General features: G+C 33.9%; 1 protein-coding gene and 1 non-coding gene across 2 annotated transcripts in view; one reads left to right on the top strand and one right to left on the bottom strand.

The window, feature by feature from the left end:
• The window catches only part of PCDH15 (protocadherin related 15), a 1,825,172-nt gene that overhangs the window by 40,918 nt on the left and 1,764,464 nt on the right, over positions 1–19,790 (top strand). The window lies entirely within an intron of this gene.
• Positions 19,183–19,286, bottom strand: LOC124902580 (small nucleolar RNA U13). The gene has a single exon (XR_007062413.1). It is a non-coding gene; the product is annotated as a small nucleolar RNA U13 (small nucleolar RNA).

The raw sequence follows: 19,790 nt of genomic DNA, 5'->3' as shown, positions 1-19,790 counted from the left end.
TTGGCCTTTATTAAAATTGTACTTCTGTTCCCACTTTAACCTGGTTCTGTAGTTTAGATTCTGATTTTATTTGTCAAAAGGGATGCCTATGTACCCAATGCAAGTGACATAACATCCTTCATTCAATAGGAATACAAATGCATGAATAAATACACTTCTATTGCAAATAAAAATAGAAGGAGAGCAGATAATTATTGAGGTATAATTTTTTTGACCAAAGTACATCATTCTCTTGTCATAAGAGCAAAAATATATTTACCAATATAGCCTGTTAATAATGGGTATTTATAAATGCAGCCAACCATATTTTTAATCAACTTAAAACATACATTTGTTAGAACTTAAGCTTAGCTGCATAAATGAGAGTAATGAACTTAGTTACAGACTTTTTGGACACATTTGCCCCTTTATCTAATTAGAAAGATTAGTAATATTAACATTTAATGCTGCTTTATATTTTCAAAAGGATTAGTTCAGTAATGATTATAAATTTCCCTGGCATCTTTGCAATTATCACCAACCTCAAATTTATAGCTGAGGGAATTTTCAGAAGAAAGTTAAGTACTTGAAATAGATTTTGAATCCAATGGGTTTCAGTTACAAGACTGGCCTAGGCTAGTGCAAGGAACTGGTAGCTTGCATTTATTCTAGAAAAGAAGGCAAGGCATTTGGTCTTTAATCAAATTATTTAAAATAGAAATTACTTAAAATATTTAAAATAATATTATTATTTGAAATAATATTTGAATTATGGGGTTCGTAGTAAGTTAGATGAGAGTTTAAAAACCAGCTTTGCCACTTATGAGTCATATAATCTTGAGTGAGATACTTTGGCATCTGTTTCTATATCTATTAGGCAAGAATAATCATAGTACCTATGTCATGAGATTTCTGTTCAGATTTAATGAAATGACCCTTTTTGCCCAAGACTTAGAAAATAGAGAACATTTGTCAAATTTGAGTATTACTATTTGATGATGGTGATGATGATGATTTCCAAACAGATTAGGCTGAATTCATACACATAAGTGAGAGCTGGATAGAGTCTTTTACATTTAGACCAAAAATGTGGAGATTCATCCTATATAGAGACCCCATACGGTGAAAACAGCAGATTAAGATCAACAATTGCCTGGCAGAACAGTAGTTCTATGTATAATTTGACAAGCAAATTATCCTGAGTTGTGATGTTTCCATTCTATTTAAAATTAACAGAACAGTCTATCTCTCTCTCATATATATATACACACACACATATATATACACACACACATATATATATACACACACATATACACATACATACTTGAGATGTATGTATGTATACATATATATACACATACCTACTTGATATGGAGTTTCACTCTGATGACCAGGCTGGAGTGCATTGGCGCCATCTCGGCTCAATGCAACCTCCATCTCCTGGGATCAAGCGATTCTCCTGCCTCAGCCTCCAAGTAGCTGGGACTACAGGCGCCCGCCACCATGCCCCACTAATTTTTTGTGTTTTTAATAGAGATGGTTTTCACCATGTTGACCAGGCTAGTCTTGAACTCCTGACCTCAGGATCAGCCCTCCTTGGCCTCTCAAAATACTGGGATTACAGGCTTGAGCCAACGCGCCCGGCCAGAAAATTTATTTCTAGAGCAGTGAAGTGTTGTAACAGAAGTTTGGCATCTAATGAAAAAGTGTTTATAGTGTTCTGAATCTTTAAAAGAAGATATAGCTGAGAATTTGATTCCTGAAATGCCAGGGAAGCACTGATTTTCTTCAAGAACATTAGTCTCTGTTATCCATGTAATTTTTTACCCCCAGGAAGAGTGAACAAAACAATCCCCAGTAATCCCGTGAGGCTGTAGGATCATAATTTTTAGGTTATTTGCAAAGAGTTATTCTTCTTTACAGGAAGGAAGAAAAAAGGCTACAATAATTCCATAAATATACATATAAGGAATTAATTTTATATAGTATTAATAATATAGATTAATTTATAATTCTCCATTATCTGAATAGAATATGAAAAAATTTACTGAGCAAGAAGGGTTTACTTAACAAATTAATGATGTCAAAATTTTCCAGGGATTAAAAAAAAACTATATATTACTCAAATACTACTTTCAAGTGCCTATGATTTATTCATCTACATATAATTTATGTGCTAATACAATAATTACTTTTGTATTTATAGCCTAACATTTTACCAAGTTTAAAATCGATCCAACTGTGATCTTCAACAAAATCCTAATAATAAATATAAGATATTTATATCTATCTATATGTGTGTCTACATACTTGTATCTATTTTAGAGATGAGAAAGCTGAAGCCCTGGGATTTTAATTGATTTTTTTTTTTTTTTTTTTTTTTTGGAGACAGAGTCTTGCTCTGTCACCCAAGCTGGAGTGCAGTGGTGTGATCTCGGCTCATTGTGACCTCTGCTTCCCGGAGTTTAAGTAATTTTCCTGCCTCAGCCTCCCAAGTAGCTGGGACTACAGGCACCCACCACCACGCCTAGCTAATTTGTGTATTCTTAGTAGACAAGGGGTTTCACCATGTTGGCCAGGATGGTCTCGATCTCTTGACCTCGTGATCTGCCCAGGTCGGTCTCTCAACGTGCTGGGATTACAGGCTTAAGCCACCGTGCCTGGCCTAATTGATTTTTTTTTTTTAAGGAAACTTCCAGAATTAAAATTCCAATGCTGACACTTTTTTACATATACTATTTAGGCTTATGTGATTTTTCTCCCACTCATCTGGTGAGACTTGACTTTCAAGACATCTAGCAGATGTAAGATCAGGCAAACTTCATCTCTGAAAATAATAAAAAAGTATTTATTTTTAGAAAAAATGATTTAAGGTGGGTGCGGTGGAGCCCAGCACTTTGGGAGGCTGAAAGCAGGAAAGTTTTTGAGCACAAGAGTTATTGTCCAGCTTGGACAATATAGTGAGACCTCATATCTACAAAATATATTTTTTAAAAAATTAGCCAAGCACAGTGGCATGACCCTGTAGTCCCAGCTACTGGGGAGGCTGAGGTGGGAAGATCACTTCAGCCTGGGAGGTGGAGGCTGCAGTGAGCCAAGATCACGCCACTGCAATCCAGCCTGGGTGACAAAGCAAGACCCCGTCTGAAACAAACAAAAAAATTGTATATATATAAAATATTACTTTTCAAAATATATTTATTAAAATTTTCTGAATCTTTTTATATTATATGTTTTATAAAAGTGGTGAAAAGATTGCATTTATGTAACCGATATTGTGGAATTCTCTGTGTCAATAACATAACTGTTGGCCAGGCACAGTGGCTTACGCCTGTAATCCCAGCACTTTGGGAGGCCGAGATGGGTGGATCACCTGAGGTCAGGAGTTTGAGGCCAGCCTGGGCAACATGGCAAAACTCTGTCTCTACTAAAAATACAAAAATTAGCTGGGCATGGTGGTACATGCCTGTAATTCCAGCTACTAGGGGGGCTGAGGCAGGAAGTTCCCTTGAACCTGGGAGGCAGAGGTTGCAGTAAGCTGAGATCGTGCCACTGCACTGCAGCCTGGGCAACAGAGTGAGACCCTGTCTTAAACATAAATAAATAAATAAATAAATAAGATAGTGTTAAGATCCAACAGAACATACACTTACACAAAACAAGAAACATTATGGGTCATGTTATATTCTATTGAAGCTATATAAATTAATGGAATGAGTTAAAGATACAAACACTTTACACTTGCATAATTCTTCCTGTGAAAACTTTAATCTGTGGCCTCAATATTTTTATTTTACTATAATCATGTGATTAGTTTTAATGCCCATTGTACTCATTAGTTTGCACCGTGATTAATGTGCAAAATTATCAGAGTGAATGTTAAATTTTTATAATTCCATTTTAATCAGTCATGGAGATTCATGTTTTAATTAGAAGAGCACCGCATTTTATAATGAAGTAAAGATTGATGGTAGGAAAAATGTAAATAAATCTTGATGTTATGAAAGTGATGGTCAAAAATTTATGGAGAAGGAATTTGCTATCCATAGCTTAATTTATGACAATTTCATCATGATAACTTAATAAAAAGGATTTTAAATTCCTAATAATATTTTGTGAATATATTAATGGCAATTACGTATTTAAACTATCAAAATCTAACATCTGCATTTAATTTTCAATATGATTTTGGATCATTAGTGAAATATTCATCAATAACTCTTTCTGTTCATATCACATTAATAAAGTGACCATTTTGGGATAACTGCTGCCTATGGATTTAATTAATAAATTATTTATTCGAAGCCACATTTTCAAATGATTACAGATTTAAGAAGGATTTTTGTGGTTGGCTGACCTGTGGTTCCCTTTCTTATTAAGGCTAGGTTCATCAAATATAGCAAAAAAAAAAAAATATATATATATATATATATATATATATATATACACATACACATACAGAATAGCCAGTTTGAATTTCAGATCAACCACTATTTTTTTAGGGAGATATTTATATGGCCCTATATTTTATCTGCCAACATAGACATATGCAAGGTAAGGCACATAATAATCCCAATTCCTTTTTACTCTTCTGGTCTAAAAATTGTATCTGATTACATTAAGAAATGTGCATATAGACCTTTCTTTTATAACTCAAGAAGAAAGGAGCAGTTTCTGTTGGGGAAGGCGATCCTAGGAATGCTCAGGAGGATAAATTGCATGGTAGATTATTTTCTCAGCACTTTTAGGATTAAAGAAAGACAAGCAAGGGCCACTATTTAGAAACTGTTGCTCATGGATGACTGGATGAGCTTCTCAGCAGGGATGAGACTTTATGAGATTCTAGATTGGTTGCACAGTACAGCACGGCTTTGAGGAGGAAGCCATTCTTGCACCTGTGGGTGGAACCCGGACACTTTCTCAGGCACCACTGGGATGAGAAGTGGTGGAGGCCTCCGTGTCCACACGATTAGCATAGGCACAGGACAGAGAATGCTTTTTAAAGGTAGTGATCAGGATTCCCCAATTACATTCCACCATTACATGGTGGCATATAATCGCAGGTCCTTGGTAGGCTGAGGCAGGAGAATTGTTTGAACCCAGGAGTCGGAAGTTGCAGTGAGCCGAGATTGTGCCACTGCACTCCAGCCTGGGTGACAGAGCAAGAATCGGTTCCCCATGCCTCCTTCCAAAAAAAAATTGCCCACATGTGTAACAGTGTGTGTGTGCACGCATGTATGTGTGTGTTAGACTTTAGTGGATTTCTTATTTAATTACTGGACCTTCAGTCTTTTTATGCAGAAGTCCATATACCAGGTCCTTCAGACAGTTGTCTAATAAATGTCTTCTACTTTTATCTTTTATTAATATACCTTAATACATCAAGGAACTAAAATTAAGTTTTAATTTTCAGAGATTTTAAATTGACTCATAATCATTTCACGTATTTTTGGGATATATGTGATGCAGTCCACTATTGAAAATATTTGCACTTATGTGCAGAAAAGAAAAGCAACATGCTAAGATAGAAGCAAAATTTACATTTAAAAAAAACAGAGCAAATAGACCTCCTTCATACTTAGGTAGTCAGCAGTTGAAATGCATTTATAACTGGATATCTATTTAGATTGAAAATTAAACATTTTCAATGTTTCAATGAAAATTAAACATTTTCAATCTAAATAGATATCCAGTTATAAATGCATATTTTTCTGAATATTAGCATTTTCTGTTATATATTTTATTTATTTTCTATTTTTGCTATTACTTAGTTCAAAAATTAGTTTAGTTTTGGAAATATTTTGTCCTTGATTATTTCACACAGTACCAAGTCATAAACTAAACATTTAAAAAAGTCTCCTGTATGTTTACTTTCCTAAAAGCACTGCTGACTCTATATATGGCCATAGGGTAAAGATTCAATGACAATTAGGCAAAAATGCGTATTATGTACATTCAAAATATTGTATAAAATTTTAGTACATTTTTGGATTCCAAAGGAATCACTGACTCCTGATTAAGTTGCATCTTCAGAGAATTGGATAAGCAACGTATCTCATTGTGGTTTTCACATAGAGGAAAAGGAAAAAGGGGGAGAACTATTTCCTCTTTCTTGATGGAAATTTGAGTTTTCCATCTGTGATGGTTCATGAACTTCAACAATGTATGGCCTATACTAAATCAGCCACCAGCTTCCAGTACAACATTCCTCAGGACAATAGCCTGTGAAGATGCAGTCTGATGCTGAATAGAAGAACATCGGCTAGAGGCAATGGAAGGTGGTGAGAAATGAGCCATTTTTCCTATTAGATTAGAAATAGATTTTGTTTCATAGATGTGTATGAACACTTGAGGATTTTTCAGGTAAAAGCCATCGTAATGGCCGGGCGCTGTGGCTCATGCCTGTAATCCCAGCACTTTGGGAGGCCGAGGTGGGCAGATCATCTGAGGTCAGGCGTTTGAGACCAGACCAGCCTGGCCAACATGGCAAACCCCCGTCTCTACTAAAAATACAAAAATTAGCTGTGCATGGTGGTGGGCACCTGTAATCCCAGCTGCTCGAGAGGCTGAGGCAGGAGAATTGCTTGAACCCAGGAGGCAGAGGTTGCAGTGAGCCGAGATCATGTCACTTAACTCCAGCCTGGGCAACAGAATGAGACTTCGTCTCAAAAAAAAAAAAAAATAAAAAAATAAAAAAAATGAAGAAGCCATATAGCCATATATTTAGAAGCCATTGGATATGGGTGAGTTATATGAATAATGAATACACAGAAAAACATATAGGTCTTAAAACATAGTGTGTAGTGAAAATAGTTAAGAAAATGAAGTATATAACAAAATGTTATTTATATAAATTCACGTGTGTGCATATAAAACAACAATATGTGGCCGGGCACAGTGGCTCACGCCTGTAATCCCAGCACTTTGGGAGGCCGAGGCGGGTGGATCACCTGAGGTCAGGTGTTGGAGACCAGCTTGGCCTACATGCTGAAACCCTGTCTCTACTAAAAATACAAAAGTTAGCCAGGCGTGGTGGCAGGTGCCTATAATCCCAGCTACTCGGGAGGTTTAGGCATGAGAATTGCTTGAACCCAGGAGGCAGAGGTTGCAGTGAGCTGAGATTGCGCCATTGCACTCCAGCCTGGACAACAAGAGCGAAACTCTTTCTCAAAAACAAAAAACAAAAAACAAAAACAACAAAAAACAAATAAAAAACATAACAAACAAAAAAACCAAAAAATCCCAATACGTTGCTCAAGTAATCTATGAGTGAATGGATGAATAAGAGTGGAGGGTGAGGGCAAAGGGACATTGGTTAATATTGATTACAATTCCTAGCATAATGTTTGCTGCCATGATCATAAATATTTTTGACATCTTTTTTTTCTGAGATCTTAATCATCCAGTAATATTAGCTACATATATTTTTGCTTCCTTCCATAATACCTAATTTTGCCACTTCATACAACAAAGTTGCTTAGAAAAAACATAAGACAGTGTCTAGTTAGAATCTTGAGGAACAGAAAGTCACTTAAAGAAATCATATAAAAATTTTAGCTAAGGACAGTTACAGAGATGAGTAGTTAAGGACAGTTACAGAGATGAGTTGTACAAGTAGGTGATCCAAGGGAGAGTATGGAACTAATCAGGAATTACTCCCTGAAGGAGCTGATGTTTGAAGCGTTACACTAATAATGCTTTTGAAATCATTTAAAAACCCTCACTTCTATGATAATTGTGTCATCTAGCTACTGAAACGTCTAAAGTACATTTATAGTACTTTTATATTGTTACTCATCTAAAAGTATTTCGAATTGGAGATTTGTGATAGTAATACAATCAGATATTTCTGTGTAATTTACTGTTTCTTTTGAAATTCTAAATTCAGTAACTATAGTTCACATATGCTATATAAAAAATTGTTATTAAATTAACAAGTATTAACAATTCTCTTTTGTTCCAAAACCACAAAAGTTTGAAAAAATAAACATGCTTAAAATGGAGAACTAACATCAAGAGCTTGTGCATATTCTTCTATTTTCACATTGATAAGGTTTGGCTGTGTCTCCACCCAAATCTCATCTTGAATTGTAGCTCCCATAAATCCCACATGCTATGGGAGGGAACCCGTGGGAGGTAATTGAATCATAGGGGGGTGGATCTTCCCCCTGCTGTTCTCATGATAGTGAATAAGTCTCACGAGATCTGATGGTTTTATAAATGAGAATTCCCCTGCACACTATCTTTTTTGCCTGCCACCATGTTAGATGTGACTTTGCTCCCCCTTCCCCTTCCAACATGATTGTGAGGACTCCCCAGCCATGTGGAATTGTGAGTCAATTAGACCTCTTTCCTTTATAAATTACCCAGTCTCGAGTATATCTTTATTAGCAGTGTGAGAACGAACTAATACACACATTGAATTAAAACTAAAATCAACGTCAATGAAAGTGCGGTTGGTATAATTCAGCTAAATATAATGAATGACACATTGGGAATTATCACTTTAAAATACTGTGTTTCAGGCCGGGCGCAGTGGCTTATGCCTGTAATCCCAGCACTTTGGAAGGCGGAGGCGGGCGCATCGTGAGGTCAGCAGATCGAGACCATCCTGGCTAACATGGTGAAACCCCATCTCTACTAAAAATACAAAAACAATTAGCCAGGCTTGGTGGCAGGCGCCTGTAATCCCAGCTACTCAGGAGGCTGAGGCAGGAGAATCACTTGAACCCAGGAGGTGGAGATTGCAGTGAGCTGAATTCGCGCCACTGCACTTCAGCCTGGGTGATAGAGTGAGACTCCGTCTCAAAAAAATAATAAAATAAAATAAAATAAGATAAATAAAATAAAATATAAAATAATCCTGTGTTTCAGTTAATTTGAACTTTCAACCTGGCTTAATTAGACAAAGAGGCAATTTAAAACATTCAGAAGTATTTGTAATTTTTTTAAAGCCATGGGTATATTAACCTTACCTGTTTTGGTTCTTAAGGTTAAACAAATTTTAGAAACTTTTAGAAATTTTTCACTTTCAATTGTTATGGTTAAATCCAGGGACTGGAAAAGTAACAGTTGCTCTCTCTCTCTCTCTCCTAACTTTAACCTTTCTTAATTAAAAGATGGACGTTTTAAAAGTTAAATTTCTCCTTTCTGAAGGGTTCAGAAATTCAAATCATTTAATTTACTACTGTGAAAAGATTCATTATGATTCTTATTTTTTTATATAAAAGATGTCAGCAAATTAACAACTGAATTCACATTTAAGAATGCTGTTAGCCATAGGTTGTGTGGATTGATCACCAAGGTGAATTTAACATTAGACTTTATCTCCAAAATTAATTTCTGTTGAAACCAGTGTTAACTGACTCTTTTCAATTTTCAATATATTTTATTTTTTGTCTTTTACCAGGAATATGGTGGTTACCCATAAGAACAGTGTTTTTCGTTTTTATATAAAACAATGCCATAAAAAGTCTTCAAAATAGTTACTGATAATAATTTACATGATTTTAAGTAAACTAATAAGTTCTGGAGGGTAGGGCTGGAATAAATAGTTGTAGTATAAATACATAGTTGACTTAAAATAATTATTCTTTCTTTTTCTTCAGGTATCTCCACAGAATTTAGTATAATATTAAAATTGACATTAGTTATATAACAACTGCATAAATGTAAAGATCTAAAAATTTTTCTAAACCTTTATATGTTTGTGTATGTACAAATAAAATCTGAAAATAAATTTTGGCCAAGTTTAAATATGAATTCAAATCACTTCTCTTTTGTTTCCTTTTTGTTTTGTTTTGAGATGGAGTCACTCTGTCACCCAGGCTAGAGTGCAGTGGTGCAATCTTGGCTCACTGCAACCTCTGCACCCCTGGGTTCAAATAATTTTTCTGCCTCAGCCTCCCGAGTAGCTGGGACTACAGGCGTGCAACACCAGGCCCAGCTAATTTTTGTATTTTTAGCAGAGACAGGGTTTCACCATATTGGCCATGCTGGTCTCAAACTCCTGACCTTGTGATCCACCTGCCTCAGCCTCCCAAAGTGCTGGGATTACAGGCATGAGTCACCATGCCTGGCCTCAAAACACTTCTTAAACAATTTTGAATTTTTGTAGTAAAATATATTATACTTCAAAGCATGTACCCACATACATAGTTTGACATTACAATGAATTTGAGAAATTATTTTTGTTTTGGAGATGAGATGCAAATAACTCATGTTTTAATAGAATTTTAGTTAAACAGGTAAATATTATTGCTTTCACTATTTTGTCCAACTCTATGTTTTCATTTTAGGCATTTTTTTTTTAGATATCTGTTATTTTGGTTTTGGTATATAAATGAAAGTTTATTACAAAATTCATTTAATCATCAAGCACATCTACTTTTTTCTAATGGTTCATATTGATTTGAAACTAAAAACATTTTGTGGATGGATGAAATTTATTAATCTTGCTACAAATCCTTCAGAAAATTTGACCATTACCCCATTTGGGAGTATTCATTTCCATGTAGCATTACATCAAACATGCAACACACATTATCCTTATCACAAAGTGTAATACAGTTGACCCTTAAACAATACGAGTTCAAACTGAATGAGTCTACTTATGTGTGGATTTTCTTTCACCTCTGCCACCCATGAAACAGAAAGACCAGCCCTTCCTCTTTCTCCTCAGCCTGCTCAGTGTGAAGATGACAAGGGCGAAGACCCTTATGATGATCCACTTACACTTAATTATCAGCACATACATTATTCTCTTCCTTATGATTTACTTAGTAACATTTTCTAACCTTTAATAATATGGTATATATTAATAATACATATGATATGAAAAATATTTGTTAATTCACTATGTTATCACCGACTTCCAGTCAACTATTATCTATTAACTGCTAGTAGCAGTTAAATTTCGGGGGAGTCAAAAGTTATATGCAAATTTTGGACTGCACAATAGGCAGCAACCCCCACGTTGTTCAAGAGTCAACTGAATATTCAACTCAAATAAACTAAGAGTATTCAGTGAGGTGGTGAATAGAGTGAAAGTGAACGGTTCATCGTGAAGCATACCACACGTGGATGCCCCATTCTAGAGCATGTTAATTGGTAAAGATGTGAATACAACTATCAAAGCAAGCCTCCTCTCAGAGAGTATCTAACTTTATTTGGTTTTGTTCTTTCTGAATGAATGACCTTTTCTAAGTACCTTGAAGAAGTAAGGCTGATATTCAAGTGTGGTATTTCATTGCTAGTCCAAAGGGAATTGTTCGTGAATTTCCTCCAAGTGTCTAACAGTATTAAAGTGCAATGTGTTTTTGGTACTTTCAGAAAATGACAATAGCATCTTGGAGAGGAATGCACTGCGGACATGCACATTTGACAACTAAATAGTAAGTGGCAATTACCACTTATAAAATGTTAACATTTGTTGATAATTTAGCTTTTCAATTAGAAATAAATCTACTCTGAAAGACTAGTCTTTTATAGACACTTCGTTACAAACTAAGGACATAAGTTTTCTCTAAAAATTATTTTTTGTTGTTTTCCAGTATGGGGTTGAATTAATGGTATCATTTGGCTACCAAGTCTATTGTCCCCACCTCAAACATTGGAAAATAGACTTTTGAAAAAACATACACTTTTATTTGGCAAAATTTTATGTGTTGGGTATTTTCTGGCAATAACTGAATCTGCACGGTTTTCTATGAAAACATTATTTGTCTTTTTTTACCTCTGATTGTAAGGATGGGCCTTAAGTCCTTATAAGATTACAAATTTGACATATTAACCAAAAACTGGAAGTATTCTGGAAATGTCAAATTTGGACCAATGTGACTATAACACTTTTATATATTAATAAGTGGGAAGTTACAGAAATCAATATTACTAAACTGATTCAGATCATGTGTTATAGATGGAGGTTAACTGCTTCCACTGCAATCCTTAGGACCAGAGGTCAAATAAGAGAGCCAAGGAAGAGCTCTGATTTTTGTGAGTAAAAGCTCTGAGTTGAAATAATTTGAAGGAATTATACACTTTATTACTACTTTGCTTCCTATTTGAAAGTATATATAGAGATAACTATGTTGAAAATAATCATACATTTTCTAGGTTCAACCATCAAGAGATGTTACTAAAAGTCTATTATTAATGAGGTCCTATAAAGGGAGCCAGAAATATAACAATAAGAAGATAGATAAACTATTATCCTCCCCAGGTTTCCTTAGTATAATATCCACCCTCATAGAGTTTTCAGGTTCTTGCAGCAGCTGCATTTGACTCAGGGACATAAAATCTTTATTGTCTATTATATTGTTGGTTCTGTCAAAAATACTATCACCATATTTTTCTTTCTTTTCTCATTAAAAGTATAGAGTTTTACAGTTTGTGATAATTGGCACCCTGAAACTAAGGTGTGACTTGATTCCAAGTTTAAAAATTTTATATATTTGCTGTCCACTAGTAGATTTCAGATTATAAAGGGGAAAATAAAATATTCCCCACTGCCTACCTACATTATCCTTCATGTTGCCAATAGCAGGAGGCTTGGAAAGCAATACTCTGACATTGTTTTGTGATATTCATTGATAGTTCTAAAGTTGATTGCCTACTCTGTGAAAGGAAGGCTCTAAGAGGGAAGAGGTTAGGATACTAAGATCTATGTCCTGGTCTCTAGAAATTGTGGTACAGAAACATCTTTTCCCATGCTCTGCTCCATGGAATAGTGTTTCAAGGACATAGAAATATGTTCATTCAGAGAAACCTACGAATTACCACTATTTCATTGTCATATTGTATATATGGTATGTCAGACTCAAAAAAGTTCTGTAATAGAGAAAACTATCCAGTTATAACTTGCTAAAACTCATGACTAAGGAATCATTTGACAGTGCACACATTAACATTTAAAGACCAAAGAATGTTGATTGGGTCTTAGAGTGAAAATGTTGGATGAATATATTGGCTCTGAAAGCAGTTGTTTCATTCTTCATTGTGGTTTTTTTGTGACAATAAAACCAAGAATAAATTTCAAATTTTACAGAAATATTATGTTATATTAATAAGGATACCACACTATGACCTAGCATGTTTTTCATTTAATGGTGGTAACATGAATATTAGCTTATATATTAATATATTTAAAAGAAACGTTATAATAATATACAATAAATAAAGCAATGTTACAAATCATTGCTTTCAGATAAGAAATGGAAACATCATAGACCATACATTGTTTTACACAGAAAATGGGTCAGACTTTGAGTCTAGCAGGATATGCCATCAAATAAAAACACATCAAAACAGTAAGCATACCTTATTGGCTTAGTGTGAAGTATATGCTGAGTTATTACATAATTTGATATTGAATCTGAAAATTATTACTAATTCGAATTTTCTTTTGATAAACAGTTAAAATGTCAAAAGCTTTGAAATAGACTTTTACATTTGATTATTTTCAAATATAGCAGCTTTTCAATGAGATCATAAAATTTGATGGAATCTGTGTTGTTGCAAATGACAGAATTCCCTAATATACAATAAAGAAATGTAGTAGAATTATTGAAAACTTGTAATTATTTCAAACTTCCGTTTAAACTACAATGTTGAGAGAAGAAGTTTCAAGAAGCTTCATCTTGAAAGACAGATCCTGGTATCTAACTTTCTTCCCAACTGAATATTTTTTCAGGAAGTGGCTGCTGGAATATAAGGGACTAGAACTGTTAGATGGTCCATCAATTTCTTTCAAGTACAGCTATACTGCCAGTTGGCAGTTGAACATTCCTCACATCTAATTACATTTACCTTTGTTGCTTTAACATTTTTAGAATTTTTGTCATCTAATTTTCTCAGCTCCTTTTCACTTACAAAGAAGTAATATTAGAGAAACTCATTACATCTGCAGCTGCAAACTAATGCTTTCAAATGTATTCCCTTGGTGTTATCATAGCACTACATATCTTGAAACAGGTGTTTTCCACTTATGCCTCTTTAATGATCCATTCTTCTTGTCACATTGTCTAATAGAGTAAATATAACATCATAATTACTAAAATTTTAAGAATCAATTCACTGCAAACAGATCAGTGTATTTGTTCTAGTGACCTCTCTGAGATAATTTTCTACCATGCATTGCTTCTTTGCTTCAGCCATACTAGTCATCTTGCTGCTCTTCGGGTACCCCAAACCACATCAAGTTAGACCTTTTCAATTTCATTATTGCACTTTACACGAACACTCTGTTCCCTAATGATCAGCATGCCTTTTACCTTGATTTCATTCAGCTCTCTGCTGAAATGAAACCTTCACAGAGAGACCTGTTTTCTCATAGCATCTGAAATATTGCCCTCAACACCTGCACCACCATTTCCTTCCTTACGTGATTTATATTTCATCACAACCAAAATCCGTACATGACATATTCTGTATTTGCTTGTTTCCTCGTTTATTGTTTATCTCTCCTCACTTACTCCTCATGGACTGTAAATTCCAAGATAGCATAATTGTATGTGTTTTGATCATTGCATTTCTTCAGTGCTTAGAAGAGTGCTTGGCATAATGAAGGCAGTAAATAATTTTTAATAATTAATATTTAAAAATTATAATATATTAATATACTAGCTAGGTGGTTTATATTGCATAAAGTCCTATTTTCTAAATCCTTGTATTAGTTTCAGAACTAAAAACAAGTGTGAAGGAGACAGAATGTATTGGAGCTTTTTGAATATTCACTATACTTTATATACTCTAATATAAATTACTTTCATTTTATATTAAATATCATAAGTCAGTCCTTTTATGAATATTACTTTAAATAATTCTGGGGTACCTGTATCCAAAAAGAAACCAGAAAACTTCTCTAAACATTACTGTATGGGCTCTAAAAATATCAGCAGTTTTATTTTGCTGATCTCAAAAGCAGTTTCCCAAGGTGGAAAACTGCTCTAAAGAGAGCACAGAGCCAAGTATTTGTCTGATAATCATTCCTTGGGAATATTTTACAACTTCATAAAATATTGAAAACAATTAAAATGATATTTTTGTTACAATCAGAATTATTTGAAGGAAGTTTATAGCAAGACACGTGGCATATAAAAAATATCCTAGCAGACTTATGTCATTCTTGGTTCCTTACACACTTTTATTGCTTTGCAAAGATACAGTGCATACGATGATAAAGTATAAATTTCAAGAATCTAAGGCAAGTTGGCATACTTAATCTCAGGCTTGTATAAACTGGAATATCTTTGTCCAATTCCCTACTATCTTTCTCACTATCTTAGTGTTTATTTGTAGCTCATTCTCCCTAAATTTATATTTCAGATTATGCAGTTGTCTCATATGTGTGATTTTAATCTAAGCAAAGTCAATGTAATACTTGAAATACAATTATTATATTTTTACCTAATAACAGATTTTGAAAGATTAGTTACTAATTTGAAGAGATTTGTTCTAGTTGCCACCTTATCTGTGGTTCCTATGGTACACATTGATGTGTAATGAAGGAGTTCTTCACTGTGGAATTCTTAAATTATTACCTATTAATAATGATATTTACTTATTACTTTTTTCATATTTAAGCTATATGTTTTGTATTTGTATGAGAACTAATGTGCTCATAAAGCCATTCACATTTCTTTCCATTAAAAATATTGTGTTAGTCCATTTGAGTTTCTGTAAGGAATACCTGAGACTGCATAATTTATAAAGATAAGGGGTTTATTTAGCTCACAGTTCTACAGGCTGTATAAGAAATATAGTGCCAGTATCTGCTCCTGGTGAGGCCTCAGGAAACTTCCAATCATGGTGAAAGGCAAAGTGGGAGCCTGTGCATCACATGGCAAAAGAGAGAGCAAGAGAGTGAGTGGTGAAGTGTCAGGCCCTTTAAAAACCAACTCTCACATGAACTCATTACTGCAGGGAAGGCACGAAGGTATTCATGAGGGAGCCACCTGCCATGATCCAAACACCTCCCAACAGGACCCACCTTCAACGGACCTGGGGATCACAGTTCAACATGAGATTTGGAGGGGAGAAAACATCCAAACTATATTCTATATTTAGGGAATTTTGCTTTTGATATTGCTTTTATGATAGTGGCCTTAAAAAAGTTTTAACATGGGGAACAACTAAAAGTAATGATTATTGCCTTTGCTAATGCCAAGCTAAACAGACGATAACACTTGAAAGAAGAAATAGTGTATAACAGCTAATAAGGAAGTAGTGATAATAAGTCTGTTTTCAGAAGGTCAGGCTTTTCATTAAGTCTGGATGGAAATCAATAGCATTTGAAAACATTTTCCACTTTGCCTTTATGTATATAGGCAAAGATATGATAAATATCTCATAGTAAATCCTGCAGTATAGTATAAATCACTGCATTCATAGAATAAGTAAATATATATTACTTTATACAAGAAGACATTCTTAAAAGTCATATATAAATCAGATTTTATGCTCTTTGAATATCAAGCCATATTTCTCATTGACTGACACTGTAATTTCAGAGATGTGTTCTCAAAGAAAAAAAATTGGTTCCTGAGCTTCAAAATTTCATATCAGAAAGCAGCAAACTTCTTTCTAACTTAAATTTAAAAATAAATGAATATTTTAGTAATAAATTATTTCTATTAATACTTAAGTGAAAAACTATGCCTACAATCATCCAGTGTTGTATTAGACACTTATGAAGACTAGCTCTAAAATGTGAACAGGGTTGTCTTTTATAAAATATTTTTCTCTGTAAAAATTGTCAAAAACCTCTTAATAATGTTTGTCTTTCTACTTCTTGTTGGCTGTATTTGTTCACCTGCCAGGTCTTTTCTAAACATGACTATTACAGACGATAAAGCTGTCAAAAAATGCAACATGAAATTCTAGTATTTTTAAGAAACAAAGAGAAGCTATTTATAAAAATGCAATGTTGGTGTAAACAATTCAACTAACTGTAAGAATTTAAGATGAAAGCTCTTCTTACTATCCCATGTTTGAGAAAAAAAAGCTCTATTTTGCCCCAATTTAAGGCACAAATATGCTTTTTGGATTTGTCTGTGTTTTTGCATTATGTAGGGAAAAATAGCACTATTATGAAAAAGTGGCAGTGTTAAAATGTAAATTTTTTTCTAAATTATTATTATTGTATTACCTCTGCCTCAGGAGACCAATATTTAGTTTAAAATAAATTTACTGGCATTAGGGTGATGATGTATAGACATAGACAGAAATAGAACCATGTTCACACGATTACTCTGAATGAGTTTACATTAAATATCATACTTTTTATTACAGTGTTTTACTGAGCTTTACGTTTTCTTATTTCTGAAAATAGCATATTTGGAGAAAACGAAGACCACTTTCAGTAATGTAGGACTCACCCACATTTCCTTAGAAACAGAGTAAAATATTCTGAAGATATTCTCATCATGATGTTTCATTTGAAATTATTGTTTCTGGTTTTTTTTTTTAGAAAATTCTTTGAAAAATCAAGGATGAGTTCTCTGAGTATTTGATACAATTTGGAAATTTCTGTTTGTTTTGATTGTTTTTAAAATTTATTTTTTGAGTAATTAACCTTTCCACACCTGAATAAATGAACACTTTTTGCCCTTTGTTGTCCTAGAAGTGGACAGAGTATGGATGAGCATAACACTAAATATAGGGAACTTATAACAGATGCTTATATATGACCTGGAAAGCTAAAGGTTTATCTTGCTGCATTTCCATCTGCAGTAAAGGTCTATCACATCTTGTTTGATACTTTTGAAAGTACTGAAGCATCTTATTGCATAGGTAATTTTAATATCTTCATGGTCCATAAACCATATACTTCTTTTAAATGAATATTTATGGTAGTCATTCTTAAATGTATATCTTATAGATCCAGGTCATTAGTAGCTTAGGAGGGACCAAGTTAAACATATTACATGGGAGTACGGTAGATGTGGTGATGCATAACTAGAATTGTGGACAAAGTGATTTGTCGCCTTATTGCCTCTTCAAAGGAGGACATGTTGTCCCAGCATTAGGGAGTGCTTTCTGCAAACATTCTTTCGCTCTCAGCAACACCACTCTCTCCACCATTCCCTCTCTCAGAGATTTCAACTAGCATCACACAGCTGCCTTGCTCAAAGTTACCCCTCCCAGAATCCTGCATGCAGTGACAGATGCAGCGAGGACATGGCTTTAAGACCTGGGTATCTTTGCTCAATGATGAATAACGTGAGGCTGTTCTATCTCCAGAGCATCCCTAGTGATCAAGGATCTGTGCAGATGACTCAAAAAATTACATTTTCTGTTCCAACTTCTGAGTGTGGAATCTGTGAATGACAATAGCAATAAGTGGCATTAAATTAACTATATTTCATTAGATACTTGAATCCTCTTTTGGAAGTCCCGATAACATGTCAAATTAGCTTGTTCAAAGCCAAACTCATAATTCTGTTCTTTTAAGCCAGGGTTTTTGTTTGATTTGTTTTTTTATTTATTTATTCTTATTTGTTTATATTCTCCAATTTTGTATTTTGGTAAAAATACACATAATGTAATTATCATTAATCACATTTATATTATTGTTCAGTCGTCATTATTGTCAATCTCCAGAACTCTTACAATCTTTAAAACTGAAAAATTTTCCCTCCATTAGCACCTGGCAACCATTATTTCACTGTCTGTTCTGAGGATTTTGACTACACTGAGTACCTCATATAAGTCGAATAATAGAGTATTTGCCTCTCTGTGAGTGGCTTATTTTACTTGATATAACGCCCTCAAGGTTCACACATGTTGTAGCATATATTAGCATTTCCTCCCTTCTTAAGGTTGAATAATATTCTGTTGTATACAAAAACCACATTTTGCTTATCCGTTCTACTCTTGATAGACTCTTGAGTTGCTTCTAAATTTTAGCTATTATTAGTAATGCTATTAACAACATGGGTATAAAATACATATTTAAGAAACTATTGGGTACATACCTAGAAATGGAATTGCAGAATCATATGGTAATTTCATGTTGAATTTTTGATGATTCACCATATTATTTTTCACAACAGTTTTACCATTTTATATTTATTCCCACTAACAGTGCACAAGGGTTTTATGTTCTCTCCATTCTTACCAAATTATTATTTTCTGTTTTATTTTGATAGCTTCCATCCTAAATGGGTATGGGCTGGTATCTCATTGTAGTTTTTTTTTTCATGTCTGATGGGTAATGTGCCAACGGTGTAACAAGTTTCGAGGGTGGCACAACTTGCACCTGTGTGTGAACACCCAGTCATCGCGCTTATGAACTACAAAATAATCTCATTGTAGTTTTTATTTGCATTTTCCTAATGATTAGTGATGTTGAGCATGTTTTCAAGTGTTTATTTGCCATTTGTATATCTTCTTTGGATAAATGTCTATTCAAGTATTTTGACCATTTTTGAATCAGGTTGCTTGTTTTTTGTTATTGAGCTTTAGGAGTGCTCTGTATATTCTGAATATTAATCCTTTACTAGATATATGTTCTGCAAATATTTTCTTCCATTAGGTAAATTGCCTTTTACTGTAGTTATAATTTTCTTTTGATGCATGCATTTTTATTTCATCTTCTTTTTTTTTTTTACTTTTTGTGAAGCCCGTTTGCCTCTTTTTAATTTTGTTTTGTGAATGTCAGGTGTCTTATTAAAAAATATTGCCAAATCTGAAGTATTAAAACTTATCTTTCTTGTAAGAGTTTATAGTTTTAGGCCTTCCATTTAGGTCATGGATCCATTTTGACTAAATTTTTGTATATGGTGTTAAGTAAGGATCCAACTTTATTA

Source organism: Homo sapiens, chromosome 10, assembly GCF_000001405.40.
Source record: "Homo sapiens chromosome 10, GRCh38.p14 Primary Assembly".
Lineage (NCBI taxonomy): Eukaryota > Metazoa > Chordata > Mammalia > Primates > Hominidae > Homo > Homo sapiens.
Note: the sequence above shows the minus strand (reverse complement) of the source record. Positions and strands in the feature narration are given on the sequence as shown.